This window comes from Homo sapiens, chromosome 8, assembly GCF_000001405.40.
Source record: "Homo sapiens chromosome 8, GRCh38.p14 Primary Assembly".
NCBI classification, from domain to species: domain Eukaryota; kingdom Metazoa; phylum Chordata; class Mammalia; order Primates; family Hominidae; genus Homo; species Homo sapiens.
This window is the reverse complement of record NC_000008.11, coordinates 8,384,072-8,400,076: the sequence shown is the minus strand read 5'-3', so window position 1 is coordinate 8,400,076 and position 16,005 is coordinate 8,384,072. Positions and strand designations below refer to the sequence as shown.

The 16,005-nt window shown below is 47.2% G+C and overlaps 1 protein-coding gene and 1 long non-coding RNA gene across 5 annotated transcripts in view, besides 2 other annotated features; one reads left to right on the top strand and one right to left on the bottom strand.

Moving 5' to 3' along the window:
• Positions 1-750: 750 nt before the first annotated feature.
• LOC105379222 (uncharacterized) lies at positions 751-10,513 on the bottom strand. 2 transcript variants are annotated; one of them, XR_002956679.2, is made up of 3 exons: positions 10,428-10,513; positions 9,815-9,890; positions 751-1,003 (listed from the first exon to the last, which is right to left on the bottom strand). It is a non-coding gene; the product is annotated as an uncharacterized LOC105379222 (long non-coding RNA). The 2 variants fall into 2 exon arrangements; XR_002956678.2 differs by having other exon boundaries at positions 9,815-10,509.
• Positions 883-1,496: an enhancer, noted in NCBI's record as "OCT4-NANOG hESC enhancer chr8:8256091-8256704 (GRCh37/hg19 assembly coordinates)". NCBI's record gives its function as "activates a minimal SCP1, AML or CMV promoter by ChIP-STARR-seq in primed H9 embryonic stem cells {active_cell/tissue: H9 hESC(primed)}" and the evidence as "EXISTENCE:reporter gene assay evidence [ECO:0000049][PMID:30033119]".
• Positions 13,256-13,935: a silencer, noted in NCBI's record as "silent region_18895". NCBI's record gives its function as "represses an Ori minimal core promoter by ATAC-STARR-seq in GM12878 lymphoblastoid cells {active_cell/tissue: GM12878}" and the evidence as "EXISTENCE:reporter gene assay evidence [ECO:0000049][PMID:35858748]".
• PRAG1 (PEAK1 related, kinase-activating pseudokinase 1) overlaps positions 13,638-16,005 on the top strand; it is a 68,704-nt gene continuing 66,336 nt past the window's right edge. For 2 of the 3 annotated variants that reach the window (NR_163138.1, NM_001080826.3), the window contains exon 1: positions 13,638-13,756. The gene's annotated coding sequence lies outside the window, so the exon portion shown is untranslated. Of the gene's footprint in view, positions 13,757-13,832; positions 14,423-16,005 lie in introns of those variants that run through there. The other variant, NM_001369759.1, reaches the window with a different exon arrangement.

Sequence of the window (16,005 nt, the reverse complement as noted above, 5' to 3'; positions counted from 1 at the left end):
AGAGAAAGGAAAGGAAAGAAAGGAGAGAGAGAAAGAAAGGAAGAGAGAGAAAGGGAGAATGGGAGGAGGAGAGAAGGAGAGGATAGAAGGGGAGAAGGGGGAGAAGGAGAGAAGGAGAGAGAAGGAAAGAAAGAAAGAAAGAAAGAAAGAAAGAAGAAAGAAAGAAAGAAAGAAAGAGAAAGAGAGGGAGGGAGGGAAGGAAGGAAGGAAGGAAAGAAAGAAGGAAGGAGAGCAAGAAAGAAAGAAAGAAGGAAAGAAAGAAAAGAAAGGAAAAGCATCCAACTCAGCTTCCAGAGTTGACAGGAGGTGACAGTGATGACACCCTTGCCTAATTCCTTCCAAGTCCTGCTGAAATCAAATTCAAGTGTTCTCCTTATCTGGTAACTTAGCTATCTCAGTGGGAATTTAATATATATAAATTGATCACACAATTGCTATTTACCAAGGCTCTATTAGCTGTGGGAAATATCAATGAATATAAGACACAGCCATCTGGAATGGATCCCGTCTAAGCTGATTGACCATGGGAGGTACGGGGATTTTTTTTCTTTGCTCCCCCACTTCCACCTCACCCAAACCTAGCTCCTTGGAAACCAAGAACTGTGCCCTTCTGGCTCTCTTAAGATACTGGTGCCCATCTGTCAAGCACAGATTTCGCCGTGTTAGAGCCCCAAAGATGTGCATCTCGTAGCACAATAGCATTGTAATGCCTGTTCTTTAACTGAATTGCAAACAAAGCAACACTCTGCCTTGATATGAAAAGTCACATTTATTTTCATTTTGGACACTAGCTCTGTGGGATCTTGCAAGTGAATGTTGCTGTCATCCCCACTAGGACTTAGTCAGCTGAGCTGGAAGAGATTTTGTGTTTGTTTTATTTACTTATTTAAAAGAAAGGAGATTAGTGAATACATGTCTATTTGAGAGCAAATTCCATTTTGATCAAAACACCAGCTCCATGCCCTGGCGATGAGTCCTCTTTCATGCGTCTTGTGATGCTGACCTAGGGTTGAGAATATTAGATAATGAAAGTCATTTAAAGGAGAATCCCAAGATAAAACTCTACCATTCCCTCATCTCACAAATGCACATTTTTCTTTTCCTTTTATGCTCTTGTGCTACATCTTTTTGGAAGCTGTTTTCTCATTCAAACAACCCCTACTGGGCAAGCCTGTCTGCAAGAGCTGCAGGTGTCCCCGCAGCCCAGCTTACAAAGCCTGCTTGTTAATCAGCCCCATCACATGTCTTTTGACCGCCTTCCTACCCAGCTTTCTGCATATCTCTCTCCCAGCCAACCACTACTACTACTTCTAAAAGAGAAAAAAAACCAACAGCCAGTCAAAAGAGCTATTATCCTAAAGATTCCTTAACAAGGCCTGTGGCTCTCCAGGAAATTAGTCCAAGTTTTGCTCCCCTCCTCCTTCCTCTACATGGCGCCCCCTCCTCCCATTCATTGGTGGCTGCAAAACTTGTTGACCCTGCTACATTCTGTGACCACTGGACATGCTACCAAGTGTCTCTCCGGAAGCCTCTCAGCCACCATTATTATATGGTGTGGCCATACGATAATGTATGGCCATTACTGTATGGCTTCCCCATCAGAACCAGTTAGGAATATAAATACACAAGGAGATCATCCTCTGACTAAACAAAGTCCAACAGTGGTGACACTGTGCAGTGCCTTTAGAGAGTTTCAACAGGGGATCTGGAAGACAAATAGGTCACTTTCTTCCAATCTTCTATGTTTGATAACTGACTGTTTGACTCTATTAGTCCTCCCCGCCTCAATTTCCTGAGATGGAAAATGAGAATGTTAATTCTATGCACCGTGACTGGGGGAGAAGTAATTTGCTAATAAGAGCCAGTGTTTGTAGAAGGCTCTGGGGTTGGCATAGGTAGGTCATAACTAATCTATGTCAATCACGTACCGTGGATCTGAAATTGAAGGAAGGCTGCACGTATCCACAGGCCCTAAAGGGGAGGTTTATTTGCTCTGCACTATCACCTCGTCCCACTCCACCCCACGCGGAAATCAGACATCTGTCTCATGACCGAATTAGTGCTCTCAGAAACTCAAAAAGAGGAAGCAAATTATGTCTTTTGGGGGGTTTTACCGTCTGGTGTACTATGCAGAGAAATAAGTTTTCCCAGAGTTACTTGTGTTGTATCAAAATGGGATTTCCTCAATGCTTTTTATTAGCAAAATGCTCTAAGAGTCCAAAGGATTGTCTTAAAATACTTTCATGGCCTGTAATCCCAGCACTTTGAGAGGTGAAGTGGGTGGATCGCCTGAGCTCATGAGTTCGAGACCACCCTGGTCAACATGGTGAAACCCTGTCTCTACTAAAATACACAAAATTAGCTGGGTGTGTGGCATGTGTCTGTAGTTCCAGCTACTCAGGAGGCTGAGGCACAAGAATCGATTGAGCCCCAGAGGCGGAGGTTGCAGTGAGCCGAGATCGCACCACTGCACTCCAGCTTGGGCTACAGAGTGAGACCCTGTCTCAAAAAGAAAAAAAAAATCCTTTTATGGCTATATTTATTATAAGAACCATAAGAAAAAAAAAGGGAAAGAGAGAAGGCCACTCTATTTCAAGGATGAATAGGTCAAAGAAACACCATTTTTCAACAGGTTTATAAAACTATTAAAAATGGCAAATGACACATTCTTTTTAGATAAATAGAAACTTTCCTTTTCCTGCCACTGAACAAGCAGGCCTCAGGAAAACTTGATTTAGAGCATCGGTTTACTTTTGCAAGTAAAACGCCCTAAGAGATGGTCCATGTCATGACATTTTCACAGCTGGATTTTGGCACATTTAGGTCTCAGAGGTAACATCACACAGAAGCCTTCTTGTAGAAGTCAACAAAAACCACCCAGAAGTCAGGACGGACTGAAGTCTACTGACCTAGTAAAACCGAAAATACACAGCTACCTCCGGAAGGACAGAGGGAAAAGCAACATTCAGGGATGGGACTGTTGAGCCACAAGAAATTATGTGACAATTTTTCATCCATGGTTTATCAAGCAGCAATAGGCCTGAACTTTAAACAGTTTACTGACAGAAACATATGTGGCCTCTCTCTCTATAATTATAGTTTAATTATATTAACTACAATTGTGACTAGTTGTAATTATGTGTGTGTGCGCATGTGTATATAACATGATAAAATTCATTTTAACCATTTAAGTGCACAGTACATTGGTGCATTCATTAGTACATGCACATTTTCGTGCAACCATCACCTGAATACTTATCATCTTCCCAAACTGCAGTTCTGTACCCACTAAACATGAGCTCCCCACTCACCTCTCCTCCAGCCTCTGGCTACCAACATTCTGTCTCCATACATTTGTCTACTCTAGGTCCTTCCTATACGTGGAATTAAACAGTATGTATCCTTTTGTGACTGACTTATTTCACTTGGCATAATATTCTTAAGGTTCATCCATGTTGTAGCATATTAAGCATGAATAATATACCTTTCCCTCCCTTCCTTCCTTCCTCCCTCCCTCTCTCCCTTCCCTTCTCCTTCCTTCCTTCCCTTCCTCCCCTCCCCTCCCCTCCCCTCTTCTCCCCTCCTCCTCCCTTCCTCTCCCCTCCTCCTCTCCCCTCCTCCTCTCCCCTCCTCCTCTCCCCTCCTCCTCTCCCCTCCTCCCCTCTTCTCTTCTCTTCTTTTCTTTTCTTTTCTTTCCACGGTCACCCCTGTTGCCCAGGCTGGAGTACAGTGTTGTGATCATGGCTCACTGCAGCTGGGCTCAAGCGATCCTCCCACCTCAGCCTCCCAAGTAGCTGGGACTATAGGTGAGCACCACCACTCCAGGCTAATTTTTGTATTTTTTTGTAGATACGGGGTTTCGCCATGTTACCCAGGATGGGCGCAAGTGATCTTCCCACCTCAGATTCCCAAGGTGCTGGGATTACAGGCATAAGTCACGGCGCCTTGCCACATTCTCTCTTCATATAAACAGTGTTACTGAAATGTAATTTACATATAAATTTCAACCATTTTGAGTCTACAATACTTTTTAGTAAGTTTGTCAAGTTCAGTAATCATTGTCACAATCCAGTTTTAGGACATTTTTATTCTGCAGCAGGAACCTTTGTGTTCATCTCCAGCCCCATATCCCTTTACCACCCCCAGCCCTAGGAAACCACTACTCTACTTTCTAGATTTGTCTTTTCTGGATATTTCATATAGAAGGAATAATACCATAAGTAGCCTTTTGTGTCTGGCTTCTTTTTCTTTCTTTCTTTTTTTTTTCTCTTTTTTCGAGACGAAGTTTCACGCTTGTTGCCCAGGCTACAGTACAATGGCATGATCTCAGCTCACCATGACCTCCGCCTCCCGGGTTCAAGTGGTTCTCCTGCCTCAGCCTCCCGAGTAGCTGGGATTACAGACATGAGCCACCGCCCCCGGCTAATTTTGTATTTTTAGTGGAGATGGAATTTCTCCATGTTGGTCAGGCTGGTCTCAAACTCCCTACCTCAGGTGATCCTCCCGCCTTGGCCTCCCAAAGTGCTGGGATTACAGGCTTGAGCCACCATGCCTGGCCATGTCTGGCTTCTTTCACTTAGCATAAGGCTTTTGAGGTTTATCCATTCTGTAGCACGGATCAGTATTTCATTATTTTTTATTTCTGAATAGTATTCCATTGTATGGGTCCATCACATATTGTTTATTCATTCACTAATTGATGGACATTTGGGTTGCTTCCATTCTTTCGCTATTATAAATCATGCGGCATGAATATTTGTGTGCAAGTCTTTGTGTGGACGTGTTTTCATTTATCTTAGGTAGATACCCAGGAGTGGGGCTGCTGGGTCAGACCACAAATTTATGTTTAATCTTTATGAAACTGTCAAACTGTTTTTCCAAAATGGCTGTACCATGGAGAGGTTTTCTTTGGGGTAACTGAACAGATTCTTCAGATGGATTAGTTTTTCCCTTTGGGACCCCTCCTAATGTGAAATACTTTGCTTTTTTAGACTCTGACCTCAGCTCAGTCAGAAAGCCAAGCAGTGGGAGTCATGAATTAATTCCTTAAATATTTCTCATTTTCATATTCTTAACTCATTGCTGAGTTCATATTAAAACCAAACAACCTTGAAAGCTCAGAAGAATAGTGTTGTGAAGGTGAAGGATCAGGGCCAGGTGCCGTGGCTCATGCCTGTAATCCCAGAACTTTGGGAGACCAAGGTGGGGAGATAACTGAGGTCAGGAGTTCGAGACCAGTCTGGCCAACATGGCAAAACCCCCGTCTCCACTAAAAATAAAATATAAAAATTAGCTGGGAGTGGTGGCAGGAGCCTGTAATCCCAGCTACTCAGGAGGCTGAAGCAGGAGAATCACTTGAACCTGGGAGGCAGAGGTTGCAGTGAGCCAAGATCAAGCCACTGCACTCCAGCCTGGGCGACAGAGTGAGACTCCATCTCAAAAAAAATTAAAATTAAAATTAAAAAAAAAAGGAAGTGAAGGATCAGACCTGGATGATCCCTAATGTTTCCCCCATCCATTAATGCATCTCTAGAAGTGTCTCTAGAAGTGTTTGTGGACCAAGAGTAGTCTCTTGATGGGCTTTGAGCTATGTCTCACTCCACACTATCTGAAAGTAGAGGTGGAGTTTCTAATCATTCATGTGCCCGTTCAGCTAAGGAACAAGCCCTTTCTCCTGACCATAGACCCTAACATTTGAGGAGGAGGGAGCTGTAGATGAAAGGATGACCATTCTCCTTGTAGGCCAATCAAAGCTCCCACAGAAAGAATAAAGGGATATCCCACTTTCCTACTGTGGTGAACTGCCTGGCATTCCACCCATAGCAGCCATTAACATGTCTCCTGTATGCCACTTCCTTATGAGCTGATTTTTGGAAAAATATTAACTTTCTAACTAAGAGCATTAGTGTATATCAATCATTGGCATACTTTAATTTTTTTTTTTTTTTTTTTTTTGAGACGGAGTCTTGCTCTGTCGCCCAGGCTGGAGTGCAGTGGTGCAATCTCGGGTCACTGCAAGCTCTGCCTCCCAGGTTCACGCCGTTCTCCTGCCTCAGCTTGCCAAGCGGCAGGGACTACAGGCGCCTGCTACCACGCCCGGCTAATTTTTTGTATTTTTAGTAGAGACGGGGTTTCGCCGTGTTAGCCAGGATGGTCTCGATCTCCTGACCTTGTGATCTGCCCGCTTTGGCCTTCCAAAGTGCTGGTATTGCAGGCATGAGCCACTGCGCCCGGCCGGCATACTTTAATTTTAGTACCTTCACTCCTTTGCTAGGTTTTTGGTTTTTTGTTTTTTGTTTTTAAACAAGGTCACACTCTATTTTCCAGGCTGGAGCACAGTGGCGCAATCTCAGCTCCCTGCAACCTCCACCTTCTCAGCTCTCTGCAGCCTCCACCTCCCTGGCTCAAGTGATCCTCCCACCTCAGCCTACCAAGTAGCTGGGACCACAGGCAGTGCCACCACGCCTGGCTAATTTTTTTTGTATTTTTGGTAGAGATGGGTTTTCACCATGTTGCCCAGGCTGGTCTCGAACTCCTGGACTCAAGCAATCCACCTGCTTCAGCCTCCCAAAGCACTGAAATTATAGGCACGTACCACTACGCCCAGCCCCCTTTATTAGTTTTTTAGGGCTACCATAACAATGTACCAAAAACTGCGTGGCTTAAAACAAGAGAAATTGTCTTATAGTTCTGGGGACTAGAAGTCCCAAATCAATGTGTCAGCAAGGCCAGGCTCTCTTTGCCGACCCTAGAGGAGAAGCCTTCCTTGCCTCTCCTAGCTTTTGGTGTTTGCTGGCAGTTCTTGGTGCTACTTGGCTTGTACCTGCATCACTCCCCTCACATGGCTGTCTTCATGTCTCTCTACAGATGAACACCAGTCATTGGATTAGGGCCCATCCTAATGACCTCATTTCAACTTGATTACATCTGTAAAGACCCTACGTCTAAGAAGGTCACATTCTGTAGCACTGGGGGTTAGGACTTCAACATTTATTTTCTGGGGGGTTAGGTAGGGGGAACCACGCAACTTAGCCCATAACAGTAACATTTTGAAAAAACGACGTTTGCAAAAACTTAATGTATCTGTCACTGAATGCACACCCACATATAGTTATATATTGATATGGGTTGGCCGTGTTCCCATCCAAATCTCATCTTGAATTGTAGCTCCCATAATTTCCACATGTTGTAGGAGGGACCCAGTGGGAGGTAATTGAATTATGGGGGTGGGTCTTTTTCATGCTCTTCTCATGATAGTGAGTAAGTCTAATGAGATCTGATGGCTTTTTTTTTTTTTTTTTCAGACAGTCTTGCTCTGTCACCAAGCTGGAATGCAGTGGCACCTTCGCGGCTCACTGCAACCTCTACCTCCCAGGTTCAAGCGATTCTCCTGTCTCAGCCTCCTGAGTAGCTGGGATTACAGGCACCCACCACAATCCAGGCTAATTTTTGTATTTTTAGCAGAGATGGGGTTTCACCATGTTGGCCAGGCTGGTCTCGAACTCCTGACCTCAGGTGATCCACCTGCTTCAGCCTCCCAAAGTGCTGGGATTACAGGCATGAGCCACCGGGCCTGGGCCTGACGGTTTTATAAAGGGGAGTTTCCTACACGAGCTCTCTTTGCCTGCTGCCATGTAAGATGTGACTTCACTCCTCATTTGCCTTCTGCCATGATTGTGAGGCCTCCCCAGCCCCATGCAGAACTGTGAGTCCCTGAAACCTCTCCTTTATAAATCACCCAGTCTCAGGTACGTCTTTATTAGCATGTGAGAACAGACTAATACATATAGAAAAGGGGAAAAAAGTGTTTTTCTTCTTCACCACTGACATCTGTGCTCTGTGGTGCTTGAGCACAAAAGAAAGATCATAACAACCTTGAACCTTTGGCTCTCAGTCCTGTGTGGTTTGATATTCTGACCATCTGTAGTTATTACTTAAATAATATCTTTCAGTTTGGGCAAAAAAAATCTATTCAGTGCTTGGAATATGATACTATAAATTATTTAGAATGTTTTATCTTGCATAGTGCTGCCTAGAATTAATGTCTGAGAAGAATGGGATGTTGGATATGTTTTTCTTAAAAAAGGTGGGACATGAGGATGTGATTCCATAATCAAAGGACAGGGATTAACTGATAAGATATGTGAATTTCCACACCTCAGAGAAGAAAGAGATAGCTTTGGGGTGGCAAATGATAGAGCCGATTATCACTCTGAGAGGAAAGAGAGGAGTGGGGCTGTGTGCGTTTGCTAGACCAAGCTCTAACTGGCTTGCTGAGAATGTTATCTCCTAGCAGGACAGAAGGAAGCTAGAAGGGCTCATCACAGCAAGTTTTTGAAAGATCTTTTTCCTTCCCTCCCTATGCAGTCCTCTCCATGGTGGTTTTGGGACCCAAATTGCCACTAGGGCAGGCTTAGCTTTCAAGCCTGGAGCAGATGCCCAGGACGTCCAGGGCACCAACCTCTCCCATCTGCAATTACCCTCCTCCCCTTATGAAATACTCCCTTTTGTTTTGTTTTGTTTTGCTTTTCTTTTTGGAGTCAGTGTCTCACCCTTGCCCAGGGTGCAGTGCAGAGGCGCAATCATAGCTCACTGCAGCCTCAACATCCCAGGCTCAAACAACTCTCCTGCCTCAGCTTCCTGAATAGCTAGACTACAGGCACACGCTACCTGTATGTGCCTGGCTAATTTTTTAATTTAATAGAGACAGGGTCTCACCGTGTTGACCAGGCTGGTCTTGAACTCCTGAGTTCAAGCAACCCTCCCACCTTGACCTCCCAAAGTCCTGGGATTCCAGACATGAGCCACTGCACCTGGCCAAAATACCCCTTTTTTCTATCAGCATCCGTATCAAGCCTATCTTATCCATTCCATTTGTCCTCCCATCTAATTCCTTTCTTCCATGGGGTCCTTTAGAACCTCCTGCTACTATAAACAAAGTCACTAAGAGCTTAAGCTTGTCTCAGACACTCCCTGGCTCATGCAATTAACTGGAACCTGGAATTTCCGTGATAACATCTCTTGCCTTTTTGTCCTCCACAAGAGATCTCTCTTTAGACTGCTCTGCATTTTAAAAGGTCTGGAAGGGAAGGGGTCATGCTTCTTGTTTTTCTTATGGCCTCTTCTGTATTCCTGGGTCCCCCAATTCTTGGCCTCTTCCTATCACTTTTGCGCCTTCTTCACAATACTCCTGCAACCCCTTCATTTGTTCTGGGGGCTCCAAACACCACTTCTGGCAGGATGACTTCATTCACCAAACGGTGGCTACACACTTCCAACCCAACAGACCACAGACTGAATTCTGTGACTTTCCCGTTTGTAATAATGATACCATCATTCTACCGGTCTCTAGGGGCTAAAACTCTACTGGTCACCTTTGATTCCTTCCTCTCTGTCAGTAATAGCACCTACTCCTGTGTTTCTGCGAGGCTTACATGAGAAAAGCCAGGTACATCACTGATCACACAGGGCGTGATGCTGAGTAAGTGCTCCATAATGTAAGGCTTTATTCGTTAATAGATTATTGCTCACAGTGAATCCACGAAGTAACCAATCCCCATTTCTCCCTCTTCATGTCTCTCAAAACCACACACACCATCCATTCTTTCTGTTTCCCTTGCCATGTTCCTTATCAAAACACATCAACTGCCATCTGGACCAGGGATAGGAACGCTAAGCCAGACTCCTTGTCTCCAATCTCTTCTCCCACTTCCTAATCCATCTGGGATACAAGATCCAGAGAAAGCTAATGAAAAACCACCTTAGTGATGTCATTCTGCTGCTCGGAAATGTCAACACTTTCTTGATGGCTCACCTGGAAACGAAGTTCTTCTCTTCTAGTGCCACACTCCATTTCCAGGCCTGTCTCCAAAAACCATGATCCAGCCAGTCTAGAATGCAAAACCTCTGAAAAGTCTTCCGCCTCTCCCACGTCCATTCATTTGCAGATAACATTGTCTCAGTCTGGAAAGTCCCCATCCTCCACAGATTGAAATCGTTCTCATCTTCTAAAGCTCCCCTCCTCTATAGAGCCACTTTCTGTGTTTCTTCTGTCTGTTTCTCCCTTGAACCCCCACTGCCCCGACTTATCTTCCTCTCATAGAGCTTATTTTTTTTTTTTTTTGCTCTTACTCGTCTTTCTTTTCCCAGTAGGACCTCATGCAGTGCTTATAAGTAGAAGTCACTCAATACATATTCGTTGAGAAAACTGAATATCGTTCTCGCTTTTAGGTGAGATGCATGTCTCTATTATTTGAGATGTATGCTCTGGCTGAGGAGATAATATGTGTGGGATTTCTTTGGCTCAATCTTCATACTATCTGACCCCTCTCCAATACCCCAGCTTGTATTTTTGCAGTATAATTTAATGGCACATCCTTCCTAATCCTGCCATTTTGCCTAATTCCAAACTACCTTACTTTACTCACCCCGAAGCACTCCCAGCCTTGACCTCTTGTCCCAGTTTCCTAAAATATAACTGCTCTTGTACGGAATGGTGCCGCTGGACTAAAACTCTGACGAGGAATTGCTGTTCTTCAAGGTCTGGTCTGTATCAGGGAGCCCACGCCCTGCAGTTAAAAGTGTCATAAAAATGGACTGATAAGTAGCTAGAAGCAGAATGCTGTGTCTACACAAATTACACTGCATTGCAGGGTACAGTTTGGAAGTTCAAGCAAGAATTCTTTATGAAAATGAATGAGCTTACCGTAGCTTGACTGAGGATATCATATACTTAACAGTCACTGGTAGAGCACTGCCTAAGAGTGTGGGTATTTTATGTGCATCCCAGTGACTCCTTTGAAGTGTTTCTTGATTCTTTTCATTAGGCAAGATGAAGTCGTCTCTATGGCCATGTTGCTGGCTTTTAAAAAGATGCACATTATATGTCAGCAACTACAGTATAATGCATTTACTTTGTGTGAGCACAGCAAACCACTTAAGAACACACTTTATTTTGTAGACACACTGAATTTACCCTTCAAGTACTGCCCCATGCCACAGAACTACAAGTCTTGCCACATTATGGCTTTCTCTTATAATTATGCTCTTTAGCCTGTTCATGTATTAAGAATAAATTAGGGGCCGGGCGCGGTGGCTCACACCTGTAATCCTAGCACTTTGGGAGGCCGAGGCAGGCAGATAACTTGAGGTCAGGAGTTCAAGACCAGCCTGGCCCAACATGGTGAAATGCTGTCTCTACTAAAAATAGAAAAATTAGCAGGGCATGGTGGTGGCCGCCTGCAATCCCAGCTACTCAGGAGGCTGAGGCAGGAGAATGGCTTGAACCCGGGGAGTGGAGGCTGCAGTGAGACAAGATCTTGCCACTTCACTCCAGCCTGATTGAAAGATGAAACTCCATCCCAGGAAAAAAAAAAAAAAGAATAAGTTAGGTAAAGAGAAGAAAATAAAGTGCAAAAGTAAGTGCTTCTTTTATGTGTTCAGCACAGCCTTTATTCTGTGAGGTCAATGTCTCTCTTACAGAGGAAAGAAGTGAAACATTTAGCCTGAATCCTGAGAACCAGGAACTTCTCAAACATCTTAGTTTGCCCTCTCCCAGTGTAAATGAATTGCACACTTTCTGAAGTCACTTTTGTATTTCTCCATTGCAGACCACTTTGTACCTACCTGTTTAATCAACATCTTCCCCTCTTGAGTCTTGGTAGGGTCTGGATCTTTCAGCTCTGTTGGATGCTCATGAAGTGTAACCAAAGTTTCCCTTCCTTTTTTTTTTTTTTTTTTTTTTGAGACAGGGTCTTGCTCTGATACCCAAGCTGGAGTGTAGTGGTGCGATCTCAGCTCACTGCAACCTCCACCTCCCTGGCTCATGTGAGTCTCCTGCCTCAGCCTCCTGAGTAGCCGGGATTACAGGCGCCCACCACCACACTCGACTAATTTTTGTATTTTTAGTAGAGATGAGGTTATACCACATTGCCCAGGCTGTTCTTGAACTCCTGGCCTCAGGTGATCTGCCAGCCTCGGCCTCCCAAAATGCTGGGATTACAGGTGTGAGCCACCGCGCACGGCCAGTATTTGTTCAAATGATTTCTCTCCACTTAGGGGAGAGAGAAAAATAGGGCTGGACTACCTGCACTTGGCAAGGGCAGAGTGGCAGAGTAGACTTGCCTACCAGCGAAGCCAGACAGCCTTTGGTTCCAATCTTAGTACTACCACTTTTCAGCTGAGGAACCCCAGCAAATTGTGAGGCCCCCGAGCCTCAGTTTTCTTATCTGTAGAATGGGGATAATGATGCTCTCCTCATAGGATTGCTTAGCGCTGGGTAGGTCCTTAAGGAATGTCCATTGCACTCCCATCCCTCTACAGCTTCCCCCAGATTCTGTCCTCTTAGGAGGCATGGGTGTCACTGGAACATGAGGAAGAATTCCCTGGATCCTTTTTTCCCTTTCCTCACACAGAAGCCAAACCTCAAATACACATCTTCCCTCTCTGTCCACACCCACAGCAGCAAAGAGGAGAGCCAGGGATCTGGGGGTGGGGGTGGGGGCCCATCTTCCTCCTCTCAGTGGGTGGGGGCTCGCAGGCTGACTGGCAGAGGACCTTCACTGGAGTCAAAATAAACTGCCTTCCTGGGGAGGGGATAGAGGGCGAGAGAAGCCGCAGGTATTGTTTTGTGGGGGAGGGGGGTCCTCTTCCTATTCCATTTCACTGAATTCTTCCCACCCGGCATGGCCCTGGGAGGTGACCATAGCCCTGGCTCCCCGAGTAAACACCCAGGTCAAGCTACAGGACTGACTGGGTCTTAAGCTATTATACTCCCAGTGAAAAGATTTTTTTAGCCCGAGGACTATCTCGAACTCGTTCTATCTCAGTGAATGACTCACTGGAAACGGTGTAAACACAGGTGTATTACTGGCCTGCGGAAGACTTGGATGTCCCAGCATGGTAGAAGGCCAGGTCCCTGCAGTGCAACGCTTGCATTCTACATCCAGAAAACTAAAGTTCAAAGAGGTTAAGCAATTTGCCAGAATCCTGCAGTCCAGGGACTGAGCGGAACCTGGAATCCGCCACCGGGACTTCCAGCCCTGCTCCCTCCGGCGCCACCCTCTTCCCAGAGGTAGGGAGAGCTGAGGCTCGCTGTGCTCACGTGGCTTTCAGAGCCCGCCTCGGACCCTGACCTGTATTCCACTCCCGACCCCACACTTCCTCGTTTCCCCTTCCTTCTCCCTCTCTTCCCAGGGTCCCGCAGGGCCGGCTGGATGAAGTGATGCCGGGCACCTATACACGCATGATGGCAAAAGGAGGATTGCAACGCCAGAGCTCGCCCCTCCAGAGCTGTGCAGGGTCCCCACCGAGGAGGGGGTGCAAACGGGTGCTGGGCTCGGGGGTCAGCCCGCGCCAAGTCTGGGGCTGGGGGCGGAGCCTGCCGGTCCGGGGCGGGAGGGTGGGCAAGAGAGGGAGTCCCGGGGCCTGGAGACTTTGGAGGAGTCGGGGCCCTGGGGGTAGGAGACCGCCGGGTGGGAGCGGCAGGCGCAAGCCGGGCGGCGGGGCGCGCGGGCCAGGCGGGGCCGGGCGGCGGCAGGGACTGCGGAGGTGCGGCGTGAGCTGGGGCGGGCGGCGTCACCGGAGGCGGAGGGGGCGGAGCCGCGCTCACAGCTGCCACCCGGCCGCCGGGCCCAGGCAGAAGCCACCCGCCCGCGGCCGGGCACGCACCGCGCGCAGACCTTCTGCGAACAATGCTCCGGCCGGGCGGCTGGCGGCTCGGAGACCGACGGAGGGGCCGGGGGAGCGCAGCCCAGAGGTGAGCCCGCGACGCGCTCTCCAAATTCGGCCTCTTTTTGTCTGGCGAGCGTGGTCGCAGAGGGGAGCTTTGGAGGGGCGCTGCGATCGCCGAGCGGGCTACCCCCGGGGTGACAGGCGACCGCTCGGGAAGTGGGCAGTGCCGGGGCCGCGTGAGCCCCGGGTGGTGCCCGAGGTGCAGGGAGGCGCCCGGCCGGGAGGACCGAGGAGCTGGAGGGTGTTTTTGATTCATTCGAGAATCGCGCTCTTTAAAACGGGGAAACTTTCCTACGAGTTCCAGGAGGGAGGACCGACTGTTAGGATGGTTTCTCTGGTCTTGCTGCTCTGTCTGCGGCCGGAGGCTGAAGCGCTTTGAGGACTGCTTTCCACCGCTAGAGTATTGTCAAGGGGGAGAGACGGAAGGCCGCCTGGCTGCTGGGACCAGGACCCGGGGGGATGGTTTGGGGGTGCAGGGTATGCAGCAGCGGGGCTCCAGAGGCAACGAGATGATGCCCTTTTCCCCGAGCCCTGGCTGAGCCCTCTGAAACGCATGCTGTGAGCACGTTATTAACCTTTGCTGGTATCCGGGGACACACACACTTAGAACATAGAATCCTCTGCTGGGCATGGAGGCGGCCGGGCATTCGCAGCGGAGAGCGCCAGCTCACGGTGTGTGCGTTTCTCTCAGGTAAGCTCTCCCTGCACATGGTTTTGCAGAGCCGATAGCAAAGCCCAATGGTCTAGGGGCGAGGAGTTTTGGCGATGCATTCAGTGCGGAGTCAGGCTCAGAAGGCTTTCCTGATCACTGGCCTGAACTATTCTTAACAACTCCTCTCCCCTTCCCTTTCTGAGAAGAAAATTTGACAGAAAGCCCTAGGGAATTCCGCAGTTATTTTTCTCTCCTGAGGTCTGGTTGGTTTCGACTGTAGTGGGTGCAAAACCACATTCCTCCCTCTGAGATTTTCTTTCCTCCAGCACTGGAGGAAGAAAAAAGAAAAGGAAAAGTTGGGTGAATATCGTAATTTACCCTCTGCGTGAGTAGGGAGGCAGGGGGCTAGTGGGTGGTAAAGTTGTCACTTTCTCCTTTCTGCCTGGTCAGCCCTGGCCAGTGGAGTGTGCTGAAGTTCAGACACTTTCCACACATATTTCTTTCCTTTTACTGGCGTTGCATTAATTTAACTGTAACATACAGAAAAAAATTTTAGGTGAATGTTTTCTGCAATTCTGTCACTTCAGAATAAGGCATAAGCAACTTCTGATGTAAGTCTGAGGGGGTATTTTGGGCCAAAATATTTAATCTTAAAGATCTGGCCACCTTGATTCTTCAGATTCTTTTTTGAAATGGGGTGGGAGTGTATCTGACAGCTTCAGTCTTGCAAACTGTAGCCACAAATCTAGTGCAGAAGTTTGCAGAGGCAAAGACATTTTTTTCATGACTTGGATCAGAAAGAATGCTGAGCTCTTTTTTCTAATCTGACACTGCAGCCTCCTACTGAAATGGGGAGGATTTGCATAATTCTGGGGGCTGCCTCCCCTCAGAAGTAAGGAATGTGGGCTGCGAAGTGCCTTCCCCATGCTGTGGAGAGCTGGCACTGCTGCACCAGGCAAGGCGAGGCAAGGCTTTGTGGGTGCCACTTGTGTTTCTCACCATCTTTTACTTAAAACAAATAGGAGATAATTCCAGGCACAGAAGTGCAACGGGAAAAGAGGTTTTTTTTTTTTTTTTTTTTTTTTGGCTGCATGCGGTGGTAAATTCTGTTTGCTGCGACTGAGAAACCAGTTTTAACAGGATGCAGTGAGTCAATGACAGTGGGAAGCCCAGGGCTTCATTTGTTCTTTTCTTATTCAATGACTTCCCTTTAAAAATCTTTGCGTCCATCCGTCCCTGGCAGTCGTGTGATGAAAGTTGCCTCTCTAAACATCCAAGGATTTCTGAGCTGAGAATGGGAGCAAAGAGTGCTCGTAAACTGATGAGACATTCTCAAGGAAACTTCCCCCACGCTAGCAATCCAGATCCTTCCACACTCCCTTTGCACAGGGCTGTGCAAAGGTTGGGGAATCTTAGAAAGTAGGGCCTCTGATACCAATGTCACCCCTTCCGCAAAAACAAGTTTGTGTTCTTACTTGCCTGTTGAGGAGGCAATAAGTCGCCAAGCAGAACTGCTGCTTTGTGAATCTGTGATAGACCCTGAGGAAGTGGTTGGGCACCCACCTCCTCAGATAGCCCAGTGTCAGGAGGAGCTGTGGGAACTTGCAGAGCCCACACAGAGC